General features: G+C 52.1%; 1 protein-coding gene across 12 annotated transcripts in view, besides 1 other annotated feature; it reads right to left on the bottom strand.

The window, feature by feature from the left end:
* PPP2R2D (protein phosphatase 2 regulatory subunit Bdelta) overlaps nucleotides 1-13,433 on the bottom strand; it is a 70,526-nt gene that overhangs the window by 9,834 nt on the left and 47,259 nt on the right. For 8 of the 12 annotated variants that reach the window (NR_033191.3, NM_001291310.2, NM_018461.5 and 5 more), the window contains one exon: nucleotides 1,866-6,016. The exons of 3 other annotated variants lie outside the window; for them this stretch is intronic. Coding sequence is in view for 8 of the 9 variants with exons in the window: in NM_001291310.2 (NP_001278239.1) it covers nucleotides 5,737-6,016 (280 nt within the window). In the remaining variant the exon portion in view is untranslated. Of the gene's footprint in view, nucleotides 1-1,865; nucleotides 6,017-11,295; nucleotides 12,591-13,433 lie in introns of those variants that run through there. One more of the 12 variants, XM_047425472.1, reaches the window with a different exon arrangement.
* Nucleotides 12,716-13,217: an enhancer, noted in NCBI's record as "H3K4me1 hESC enhancer chr10:133761987-133762488 (GRCh37/hg19 assembly coordinates)". NCBI's record gives its function as "activates a minimal SCP1, AML or CMV promoter by ChIP-STARR-seq in naive H9 embryonic stem cells {active_cell/tissue: H9 hESC(naive)}" and the evidence as "EXISTENCE:reporter gene assay evidence [ECO:0000049][PMID:30033119]".

The raw sequence follows: 13,433 nt of genomic DNA, 5'->3' as shown, positions 1-13,433 counted from the left end.
GCCCGGCCCAGGACGGCAGCGCCTCTGCACCTGTCACAGCTTCGGGGGTGCCGCAGTTCCTAAAAGATCAAGGAGCCCTGGGTGTCCTGTAGGCAGCCCCGCACTGTCACCAGAGATCTGAGGGGCGTATGGGGCACAGAGGCACGGAGCTCAAAGCCAAGCCCAGTATCACCCCAGTGCCCAGCCGGGTGCTGTGGTGTGTGCGTCTGTGACCCATGGCCAGGGTGGCTGTAGGGAAAGCCCTGGCCCAGCGCCCACCTGCAGCAGGCACTTAGGAGGGGTTGCCACCCACAGCAGCCAAACCCCACAGCTCTGCAGGGCCTGAGCTGTGACAGCCCTGTGGGGCTGGGGGTGCTGCCTTTACTCACATCTGGTCTACACTCCACCCACCCCTGCACACCACCTGTGCAGAGAAGCCCACTGTCGGGGACTGCTGAACTTGGCTTTGGCAGGCAGCCCCCTCGGAGGACGGGACCCAAGGGAAGAGCGCGGGGCCCGCCAGGCCCCCAGGCCCAGGCCTCTCCCAGGGGTTGGGGAAGCGTCGGCCGCGGGCAGCGTCTGAAGGTGGTCTGTGGGCCCTTGCAGCTCCACCAGTTTGAGCTGCATTGTCTCCCCACCTGTGGCTGGATTCCTGGCTTGCTGTCTCACCAGCTCACGGACAGCTTCCGTCCCTCTCCCTTGGCGATCCCAGCACAGCAACGACAGGACAGCTCGCCACAGAAGATGCGGCTACAGCCCCACTCAGCACCCCTGGCCCAGCCCAGGACGAGCAGAGCCACGCCCTCATACAGCAAGCCCATCCTGTCCCTTTGCCTGCAGCTCTGGGAAGATGCGACCTCTGCTACCCAGCACAGCCCGGACTCCTGCTGGCTCTGACCTCACTCCCCCACTCCCTGGCTGATGCCAAAGCCGCTGGCCAAGGACGCACAGCACAGGTTTAGGAGAAAGCAAGCTTAAGGCCACCCGGAGAGCCTCCGCAGCCCCAGACCCACTCTTCCTCCCAAGCAAGCAAAGGGGTGATGCAGAGCAGCCGGGCCAGGCGGATCCAGGGCCAGCTTCTTCCGGCCGGGAGCAGGACACACACCAATCCCATGGCACTGGGCTTTGGGAGGCTTCTGGCACTGATGGTGATGATTTGGCTCCACACAGGACAGACAGACACGCACATGCTGCAGTCTCCAGCCACACCTGCCAGTCGTGTGGCCTCCAAAATCAGACTGAGTCTGTCCACGAGGGCATCATAAACTGGTTCATAGGAGCTCCATTTTTCTTTCAAAAAAGGCACGTTAAATCCACTTACGAAGAAAGTGTGTTCATGGAATCCGGGTCATCAGCCCAGAGAGCAGCAAACCTCCACCTGAACCACGGGCCCAGAATCCTCATCAATGAAAACTGTGCTCAGCATTAACCTTCAGAAGCTGATGACACTGTTCTACTTTAAGCAGGAAAGAGAAGTTTTCTCCGCACCTGTTGAGGGCACGTCTTCCTCCGCGCCTGTTGAGGGCACTTCTCTAAAGTGAATGGATCCTGCTTTTTGCGGACATAGGTGCGTGGAATTGCCAGCGCCTCTCAGAACATCAAGACTGCACTGGGGAGAACCCACAGAAACGGACAGGACTGCTGGCCAGGTGGCTTCCCCCGCAGGCGCCCCAGAGCTAGGTGACGACACCTCCAGGGAACGTGCGCCGCAGACCTCAAGGCAGTGGCAGTTCCACGGGAGCAGCAGTGCCACGTGGAACCTCTACACACGGGACCCGCCTGGGCTGCACCTTCTGCTCTGCCCTGGGGGTGGAGGAGGTGGGCTATTTAGTGGGAAATACATTCTAGAGGAAGATGGAAAAGGGTGTCCAAATACGCAGTGAAAATCCAGTTAAACATTTAAAATTTATTGAACTTTTTGGTCAAAATAGTTGAACAAATATATACAATCCCATTTTACTAGAACTGTCTTAAGGACCAGGGTTGACTAATGCTTAAATAACTGTTCCACACCTCAGACTTTGTAAATTGTGTCACAATCAATATACAGTATATAAATTATTTTTTAGTTAAAATAAAGGTACCTTTAGATTCTCAATTTCTAACTTAATGTGAACTCAAGTGGCACTGTGTTAGCATTGATTCAGGGTAATGACGGACATCCTGTTCTTGCCCATGTGGATTAGTAATCAGCACACACCTTCACCTCCACAGGGGGATGGGGGATCAACACACACCTTCATCTCCACAGGGGGACCGGGGATCAGCACACGCCTTCATCTCCACAGGGGGATGGGGGATCAGCACACACCTTCATCTCCACAGTGGGATGGCGGATCAGCACACGCCTTCATCTCCACAGGGGGATGGGGGATGAGCACACGCCTTCATCTCCACAGGGGGATGGCGGATCAGCACACGCCTTCATCTCCACAGGGGGACGGCGGATCAGCACACGCCTTCATCTCCACAGGGGGACGGGGGATCAGCACACGCCTTCATCTCCACAGGAGGACGGGGGATCAGCACACACCTTCATCTCCACAGGGGGACCGGGGATCAGCACACACCTTCATCTCCACAGGGGGATGGGGGATCAGCACACACCTTCATCTCCACAGTGGGATGGCGGATCAGCACACGCCTTCATCTCCACAGGGGGATGGGGGATGAGCACACGCCTTCATCTCCACAGGGGGATGGGGGATCAGCACACGCCTTCATCTCCACAGTGGGATGGCGGATCAGCACACGCCTTCATCTCCACAGGGGGATGGGGGATCAGCACACACCTTTATCTCCACAGGGGGATGGGGGATCAGCACACGCCTTCATCTCCACAGTGGGATGGCGGATCAGCACACGCCTTCATCTCCACAGGGGGATGGGGGATCAGCACACGCCTCCATCTCCACAGGGGGACGGGGGATCAGCACACACCTCCATCTCCACAGGGGGACGGGGGACCAGCACACACCTCCATCTCCACAGGGGCACGAGGAAGCAGCACACACCTTCATCTCCACAGGAGGACGGGGGATCAGCACACATCTTCATCTCCACAGGGGGATGGGGGATCAGCACACACCTCCATCTCCACAGGGGGACAAGAGATCAGCACACACCTTCATCCCCACAGGGGGACAGGGGATCAGCATACCCCTTCATCTCCACAGGGGGATGGGGGATCAGCACACACCTTCATCTCCACAGGGGGACGGGGGATCAGCATACCCCTTCATCTCCACAGGGGGATGGGGGATCAGCACACACCTTCATCCCCACAGGGGGATGGGGGATCAGCACACACCTCCATCTCCACAGGGGCATGAGGAATCAGCACACACCTTCATCTCCACAGGAAGACGGGGGATCAGCACACCCCTTCATCTCCACAGGGGGATGGGGGATCAGCACACACCTTCATCTCCACAGGGGGACGGGGGATCAGCAGTACACACCTTCATCTAGATAGGGGAACAGGGGATCAGTACACACCTCTATCTCCACAGGGGCACGAGGGATCAGCACACACCTCCATCTCCACAGGGCATGGGGGATCAGCACACCCCTTCATCTCCACAGGGGGACGGGGATCAGCACACACCTTCATCTCCACAGGGGGACGGGGGATCAACACACCCCTTCATCTCCACATGGGGATGGGGGATCAGCACACACCTTCATCTCCACAGGGGGACGGGGGATCAGCACACGCCTCCATGTCCACAGGGGCACGGGGGATCAGCACACCCCTTCATCTTCACAGGGAGATGGGGGATCAGCACACACCTTCATCTCCACAGGGGGACGGGGATCAGCACACACCATCTCCACAGGGGGACAGGGGATCAACACACCCCTTCATCTCCACATGGGGATGGGGGATCAGCACACACCTTCATCTCCACAGGGGGATGGGGATCAGCACACGCCTCCATCTCCACAGGGGCGCGGGGGATTGGCACACCCCTTCATCTCCACAGGGAGATGGGGGATCAGCACACACCTTCATCTCCACAGGGGGACGGGGGATCAGCACACCCCTTCATCTCCACAGTGGGACAGGGGATCAGCATATCCCTTCATCTCCACAGGGGGATGGGGATCAGCACACACCTTCATCTCCACAGGGAGATGGGGGATCAGCACGCACCTTCATCTCCACAGGGGCACGGGGGATCAGCACACACCTTCATCTCCACAGGGGGACGGGGGATCAGCACACACCTTCATCCAGACAGGGGCATGAGGAATCAGCACACACCTTCATCTAGACAGGGGGATGGGATGGGGGATCAGCACACACCTCCATCTCCACAGGGGCACGAGGGAGCAGCACACACCTCCATCTCCACAGGGCACAGGGGATCAGCACACACCTCCTTCTCCACAGGGGCACAGGCAATCAGCACATACCTTCATCTAGACAGGGTGACGGGCGATCAGCACACACCTCCATCTCCACAGCAGCAGGAGGAATCAACACACACCTTCATCTCCACAGGCGGACGGGGGATCAGCACACACCTCCATCTCCACAGGGGCACGGGAGCCCGACTCCCCACTCCCCTCGGGGACACGTAGTGGGCGTGTGTTAAATCCCACGGAAGCAAGCTCTGGTCACTCAGCATTGGTACAGCTCTGTATTATTTGTCTTGGAAAATCTTGATTTCTGGTATCAAAGATCCTACTTTGAAAATAAACCAACGTACTGGTGGCATCGTGTAATTAAAATTGCTTAATTTTGCTGGCTTGAAATGCAGGATGAAATTTAGCATGCATGTAATTTTAGCAATGTTTAAAAAGTATACTTTCCCCAAAGTGCTTTTTCAAAAGCCTTAGAAAGCAAGCACGTATTTCTTCAACTGTAGTGAATTTGAAGCTACTTTAAACCAGGCTTACTGGATGGCAGCAATTTTGGTTCTTCCTTGCAATTTTCTTTCTCAGAGGTGGCCTCGGTTCTGGCTTTTCCCAGACCTTACCTGGTGTATCTGATGGGCTACTTCTACAGAAACACAGCGGGCAGCAGCTTGGGGACAGAAATGCTGCACACATACCCCCACGCTGCCAAAGAAGGACACACATTTCTCAAACAGTTAGTTCCAAAGAAGAACCCTGCATAACTTCATTCTATGCAATAAAATTAAATAAAAAGACAATACTTCTGTTTGGATTTAAAAACACTTTATAGTGTGTTGTTTTTATTGAGCGCTCACACCCGAAGGGGTGGCGGCGGATGCTGTGGGTGAGTGGGGCCGCCTGAGCCTGCTCGGGCCACATCCACACATCCACAGAGTCCACCTGGACTCGGAGGAAGGCCGAGAGGACACGGACGGTGGCCACACCACGCTGCAGTGAAGGCCCAAGTGTGATGGCAGAGAAAGAGGGAAAGTTGGAGAAAGAGCGGTATCTGACAATAACTTTTCTCTTGGATGTTAATTTTTTGGTCTATAAATTGGAAAGGAAGGCTCGGACTGAAATAAATACATTTATTCTGAGTAATGACCTTTTGGGAGCAGTGTCCGTCAACTCTGCTTCGAGAGCGTCTCCACGTGAGCAGCAGCGCCTGTCTCGCGCCTCGCCGAGGCGGAACCACACCGGGCCTCCAGCGGAGGCGGCTTTCTCCTGTGTCTGTGAAGGGAAGTAGCAGGTGCGTCACTGTTCTTAATGGAGCGGACAATGATGCCTTTTCTCTGACAGAAAAATGTCCGGCTTAACTATGCAAGACAAGACTTGGTCCTCACGTTCGCGTCTCTAGTTGATTTTGTCCTGGAATATGTACAAGTTATTGGTGGCAGCCACGGCAATGACATTGTCCACGGGGTGCCAGGCTGTGTGCAGGATCTTCTTGTTGAAGTCCAGACTGTCCACACTGATCTCGTCTTTCCTCCGCTTACCCCCCGTACACACCTTCCGGGGTTTGAGGCTGGCGCGCGGTTTGCTGCTCTCTCTCGAGGCCTCCAGGGTCACATCCCTCCGCGTGTCTCTATCAAACATCCTGAAGAAGTTGTTATAGGACCCGGTCATGATGGCGCTGTTCAAAACAAGAGCAGACAGCAGCACTCCTCAGTGGGGGGAGCGGCAGCAAGGACTCAGACCCCACCCCTGGGGTGCACAGCGCACGCCACCCTCCCCCACAACCCAGTTACTTTCAGAAATCAGGAATGATCAATCACAATGGGCAGAAGAGAAATGCAGTGAAAATGTGTACCGAGCTTTATCTATAATCATGTCAGTAAGAATCCATGTCACAGGAGAAACAAAATAATGGAGTCACACTTTTAACATTAGTGTATTTTTTGAAACAACCCCACCTATTTATCTCACTCATGAATAACAGCACAGTTTATTTTTAAGCCTTATGTTCTGCAATTTGTCAATGATCCATAATGACCTGAACATAATCCTTATCATGTTCAACAGTTACTAGTCATATCTGTCAATGTTTCTTTGGAGTTAAACTGCTTTTCTATTAATTTCAAAAAGTTTCTTTCAAATGAGGCAACGGATAGAAATAGTAAAAATCCACTGGGCAAAGTGTGGCAGAATTTTAGAACAACTGCATTTCACACACATTCCAGACAATACAATACCGTCCATGCTTTTGTTTCTTCAAGATCAACTGTAATGGCTTTCAAATGTCTCTGCTGTCGAAAAATTCTACTACCGCACACATCCTCATGATATAACTTCATAATACTGGTAAAAACCTCTGCAATCTTACATTTTCTACAAAAATGACAGAAAAATAGCTGAATGATGCAAACGCTGCCATGATTTGACCCATGGCTTCATGAGTCCAGTTTCTGATGAAAGATGTGTTCAAACAATGCCCTTCTGGTTTCTCCAGCCGTCCTTGAAGCTCGCCTCCTCTTCCTATTTTGACACTAACCCGCGCCCTCACGTCCTGCCCCCATGGTCATGCGCGGTGAGAGGCCTTTCACGCTGGCGCGTCTTCAAGGTGCCATGAGAAAGAAGCGGGCCGCTTCCCTTCCATGGCCCAGCACTGACCCTGGCTGCTGGCAAATACCTAGTGTCTGACTGACCTTGTCTAAAACTTCAAAGCAGGGGAAAAAAAAAAAAAAAAGACGAACTCAGAGAAGAGAAACTGCATTCAGCGATCCATGTTTATTTCCCATCTCCTGCTTCCATCCAGGAGCCCACAGCGCCACAGAGGCGGGAGACACAAGGTGTGCCCAGCGCCCTCCAGCAATGCCAAGCTGTGCACGTGGTCTTGGAACAGGGGTATGCAGCCAAGTTGGCACGTGAGGGCCATTGACTGGGGGTTCCCCAAATTAGTTTCCACATAAAACACAATGTTTACGAAAGGGTAAGTAATAAGAATGTGTGAATCTGAAGCTTACATTTATGTTATTAAAACTCAACAGTAACCATTATTCAGAACACAGACGACAGATGATGTATGGCCGACACTGACTGGAATTGCTGGTGCATGGTAATAACGAAAAGCACATCAGCTTTCATACAGATTTATGATCACTTTTAAATTCTCGACAGATAGTGCCAGCCCCAGAGTGGGTGTTTCCACACTGCAAACAAGGGCGCTGCCCAGCAGCCTGGTGCTGGCCCAGGAAGGGAACAGCACAGACAGAGACACAGGCGTAAGCACATAACTGGTTCTGTGGGGCGACCTAGAACACAAGAAGGCGCTGCCACACGGAGAATCAGGATTGGGCTGAGGCAGCACTGAAACGCCTCACTCCCCTTCATCGCATCCCTCAACAGAAGTTTCCAGGTAGGAAGACTGGCGTGTTTTTGAGAGTGAATGGACTAAGCAAATGTTACTGGGAACGCTTTTAGATGTTCTTGGGGATATGTAATCTAAGGGTATTTTGCAATATTTGAAATATATCAAGAGGAATAAAAAATACAGTGACTATCCATGTACCCGCAAGTCACTGCTAAGACAGTGAACCCCCCGCACACTCGCAAGTCACTAAGACAGTGAACCCCCGCACACCAGCAAGTCACTAAGACAGTGACCCCCCCACACACCCGCAAGTCACTGCTAAGACAGTGAACCCCCCGCACACTTGGAAGTCACTAAGACAGTGAACCCCTGCACACCCGCAAGTCACTAAGACAATGAACCCCCGCATACCCGCAAGTCACTGCTAAGACAGTGACCCCCACACACACAACCACAAGTCACTGCTAAGACAGTGAAACCCCCTGCACACCTGCAAGTCACTAAGTGAACCCCCCGCACACCCACAAGTCACTAAGACAGTGAACCCCCGCACACCTGCAAGTCACTGCTAAGACAGGGACCCCCCGCAAGTCACTGCTAAGACAGTGAACCCCCCACACACCTGCAAGTCACTGCTAAGTGAACCCCCCGCACAACTGGAAGTCACTAAGACAGTGAACCCCCGCACACCTGCAAGTCACTAAGACAGTGAACCCCCGCATACCTGCAAGTCACTGCTAAGACAGGGACCCCCCCGCAAGTCACTGCTAAGACAGTGAACCCCCCCACACACAACCGCAAGTCACTGCTAAGACAGTGAAACCCCCCGCACACCCGCAAGTCACTAAGACAGTGAACCCCCGCAAACCTGCAAGTCACTGCTAAGACAGGGAACCCCCGCAAGTCACTGCTAAGACAGTGAACCTCCCACACACACCCGCAAGTCACTGCTAAGACAGTGAAACCCCCTGCACACCCGCAAGTCACTAAGACAGTGAACCCCCTGCACACCCGCAAGTCACTAAGACAGTGAACCCCCGCACACTCGCAAGTCACTGATAAGACAGGGACCCCCCCCGCAAGTCACTGCTAAGACAGTGAACCCCCCACACACACCCGCAAGTCACTGATAAGACAGGGACCCCCCCCGCAAGTCACTGCTAAGACAGTGAACCCCACACACACACCCGCAAGTCACTGCTAAGTGAACCCCCTGCACACCCGCAAGTCACTAAGACAGTGAACCCCCCGCACACCCGCAAGTCACTAAGACAGTGAACCCCGCACACCCGCAAGTCACTAAGACAGTGAACCCCCACACACCCGAAAGTCACTAAGTGAACCCCCCCGCACACCCGCAAGTCACTAAGACAGTGAACCCCCCGCACACCCGCAAGTCACTAAGACAGTGAACCCCCCGCACACCCGCAAGTCACTAGTGAACCCCCCGCACACCCGCAAGTCACTAAGACAGTGAACCACCCGCACACCCACAAGTCACTAAGACAGTGAACCCCCCCGCACACCAAGTCACTAAGACAGTGAACCCCCGCACACCCACAAGTCACTGCTAAGACAGTGAACCCCCGCACACCCGCAAGTCACTAAGACAGTGAACCCCCGCACACCCGCAAGTCACTAAGACAGTGAACCCCCCCCACACATGCAAATCACTAAGACAGTGAACCCCCCGCACACCCGCAAGTCACTAAGACAGTGAACCCCCGCACACCCGCAAGTCACTGCTAAGACAGGGACCCCCCAAGTCACTGCTAAGACAGTGAACCCCCCCGCACACCCGCAAGTCACTGCTAAGACAGTGAAACCCCCTGCACACCCGCAAGTCACTGCTAAGACAGTGAACCCCCCCGCACACCCGCAAGTCACTGCTAAGACAGCGAACCCCCCTGCACACCCGCAAGTCACTGTTAAGACAGGGACCCCCTGCAAGTCACTGGTAAGGTGGTGAACCCCCTGCACACCCGCAAGTCACTGCTAAGAGAGTGACCCCTCTGCACACCAGCAAGTCACTGCTAAGACAGGGACCCCCCTGCACTGTGTTGCCACTCTGGAAAGAAAGATGGTCTCCTATCCCATCCCCAGTTGGGGTCCTCACTTGCTAGAGTACATATGTGTCATCCCCACACACATTTATATTTTGTATACAGATTTTTTTTGTTTTTTTTTGAGACAGAGTCTCACTCTATCGCCCAGGCTGGAGTGCAGTGGCACAATCTCAGCTTACTGCAACCTCCACCTCCAAGGTTCAAGCGATTCTCCTGCCTCAGCCTCCTGAGTGGTGGGATTAAAGGCATGCACCACCATGTCCGGCTAATTTTTGTATTTCTAGTAGAGATGGGGTTTCACTATGTTGGTCAGGCTGCTCTCGAACTCCTGACCTCGTGATCCGCCCTCCTCAGCCTCCCAAAGTGCTGGGATTACAGGTGTGAGCCACTGCGCCTGGCCAATAGTTACAGATTCTTAAAACAAAACCGTCTTGTATGTCTTAAACATGTTGTATGTCATTGCACCGTACGCATTCCTCCTGAATTTTCTTTGTGGATTATCTTTGTGAGATCCACCTAGGTGATCCATGTAGTTCTAATAATTGATTCTCACTGCTTTTCAGTATATGTTATGATAGAGAACAACTTACCTGTCCATTCCTCTAATGATGCACCTGTGGGCTGTCTCCAGTTGTTTGCTATTTCAGGTATCTGAGCACGTTTTCTTGTCTGAACATGCAAGAAGCTCCCAACCCGACTGAATGTCACCAAGGAGGTCACAAGAAGGGTACTGGGTAAGACCACTGGTCTCCACCCTCTCCCCCAAACCATCATCATTCTGATGGGCATGAAAGGACGTCCCTCTGGCTTTACTTGCTGATCACTAAGAAGGATGAGCATTTCTATTTATTTTTCCATTTCTGCGAAACCCCATTCATGGTTTTTGCTCTTTTCTGAGTTGTTTGCCACCTTCTTGTTGACAACTAATTCTGCACCTATTCTGGATACTTAATCTCTGTTCGTTATCCTTTTGTGGATTTTGTTTTCACTTTTAATTTCAATATAAAGAAGTTTAAAATTTAATGTAGTTGAATTTCTTAATGTTTTCCTTGGGCTTTTGGGGCCTTCTTAAAGAAGCCCTTGTTTCCAGAGCTCACAAAGATGTCTTAGGCTTAGAAACACTCAGAGCTTATTTATTTATTGTGTGGGGCTGGTGAGGGCTCTAATTTTTCTCCCCCAAACACAGATAACTAAGGCCGTCCAGGTGGCAGAGCTTCAGAGTTTGCACTGCTCTTCCCTGCAGGCTGCGTTCCTCTGCCTATCTGTCTCAGCCCCTTTCTGCAGGGCCAGGCTCCCTTTACAGCTCGCTCTACTGAGTTTCCTGTTGTGATACATTGTTTCCCATTTGAAAATGCCTTTATCACAAGCAGATTCTTGAACGAGCATCTACTTCAAGGCTTGATTCTAAGCTGGCGGTGGAGAGTAAGGAGTCACACTTGCTGGATCTGTCACACGGCTTCTGGCTCCCACTGTGGCCGTGGCAAAGCCGAGTCTCAGTCTCGGTGTCCGCTCTCAGAGGTAATTTGCGTTTTTTCCTTGGGTGCATTTAAGATATTCTCTTTGCGTTTGGTGTCCTGCAATTTCATTATGAGATGGATGGATGCTGTGCTCCCGATCCTGTGTATTCAGGCTTTCATAATTTAGAGAAAATTGCTGGCCACTGTCACTTTAAGCCTCACACCCCCAAACTTTGTTTAAACGTGTGCTGTGCCTCACCCTGGCCTCCACGGTTCCTAGTGTCTCTTGTTTTCTGTTTGGCTCTTTAGCCCGCATTTCTTCTGGTTTTCCTTTCCATCCACTAATACAAGATCTGTTTAGCCAAAATGGACCTGCTGCTAAACCCACACAGTTTCATCTGTCATACTTGTCATTTCTAGATGTTCTCTGACTCCTTTCCAGTCTCCACGTCATGTTTGGCGGTCATGTATCATACTTGTCATTTCTAGATGTTCTCTGACTCCTTTCCAGTCTCCACGTCATGTTTGGCGGTCATGTATCATACTTGTCATTTCTAGATGTTCTCTGACTCCTTTCCAGTCTCCACGTCATGTTTGGCGGTCATGTATCATACTTGTCATTTCTAGATGTTCTCTGACTCCTTTCCAGTCTCCACGTCATGTTTGGCGGTCATGTATCATACTTGTCATTTCTAGATGTTCTCTGACTCCTTTCCAGTCTCCACGTCATGTTTGGCGGTCATGTATCATACTTGTCATTTCTAGATGTTCCCTCTGATTCCTTTCCAGTCTCCAGGTCACGTTTAGCGGTCATGTGGCTCCTGGTTCAGGCTGTTTCCTTCCTCTAGTCTGTGAATATCTCAAGCATTCTTAGTTTATCTTCTTTAACTTAGGATCTCAACAGCTGCCTTCTCGGAGGTTCAGTTCTGCTGTGGTTCTGCTGACTTGCTCACGGTGGCTTTTCCTGTATGTGCTTGGTAATTTTCACCTGTGAGCTCATGTTTAGATGATTTTAATGTGACGAAATCCAGAGAGACCTGGGTGTGCTGGCAGCAGCTACCCAGCATGCGTGTTCTCACGGAGTTTGCCAATGCCATTCTCTCCACCTGGGCCACTTCTCAGGGCTGTGCTTCCAGCAAGCGGCCTTGAGGAATGAGGTCATGTCTCTTCTAGTCAAAGTGCAGGTGTGTTTACTGCCCGCTGTGAAAGCAGTGGGGTTCTCCAAGCTCAGTGTGCATCAGCCACGGCCTCAAGTGTCCACCCGTGGGGAACCCAGGCCAACGAGAGGCTCATGCTGCCAGCTGTGCCATGAGAACCCGGGAACCTCATGTCTTCAGTCAACATCCGTGAGATGCTACAGGCTGGCAGGTCAGTCTGCAAACAGAGTAGAAGCCAGATCTGGAAACACGCCGGTCCCTCCCGATGCCCGCACACAGCCCTCGTGGAGGCAGGAGCTCCACAGTGTGAGATTTTACAGATCATGATGTAGCTGGCACAAACCCAAACTGCAAACCCTTGTGAGGGGAGGTTTTGCTTCCACTTCTCAGGGCAGTGCTGGCCACCCCCATGCAAGGCCTCAGACAGACAAACTGCCCTTTGGACCCTATCTGCCAGTGGAGGGAGACACCATCTTCAGGGGTCCCTGTTCCAACTCTACACCTCGTGTGGGCCAAGGCTTCAGCTCTTGAAAATTACCAAGCACATACAGGAAAAGCCACCATGAGCAAGTCACCTCGTGTGGGACAAGGCTTCAGCTTTGCACCATAACCTGCTGTTCACAGGGGCAGTGGTTCCTGCTATGGGCTGATGCTCCTGAGGCCAGCCGGGGCTGCAAGGCTGCTCTCGGAATAGACGCCTTCAGAGGCTGCCATTCTGGTTTCAGCTCCCTCTTAGTTTCTGGCCGTTGTGAGATTTCCCTTGCTTATCTGTGAGCTCAACTATGCACCTGAAGAGACACCTGCTGTATCATATCCAGCATTTCTAGGTGTTTATGCCAGAGGGTTTTGCAGAATATCCAGTCAATCACTTATTGCCAATAGACTCCTCTGTTCTCTTGAATTCTGAACAAAAATTCTATATAAAAATGGTGCAAGACAATCTTCCATCATCTGAAACGTAACTTTTTGCATAATAAAAAAAACGTAACTCTCAACCACACTAATCATAGCTATCTTTAAAGAATGTATACAAAATAAATTATCAAGGTACTAGAACCAT

The sequence above is a fragment of the Homo sapiens genome, chromosome 10, assembly GCF_000001405.40.
Source record: "Homo sapiens chromosome 10, GRCh38.p14 Primary Assembly".
Taxonomy (NCBI): Eukaryota; Metazoa; Chordata; class Mammalia; order Primates; family Hominidae; genus Homo; species Homo sapiens.
The sequence above is the reverse complement of the archived record's forward strand: the minus strand, read 5'-3'. Positions and strand labels throughout refer to the sequence as shown.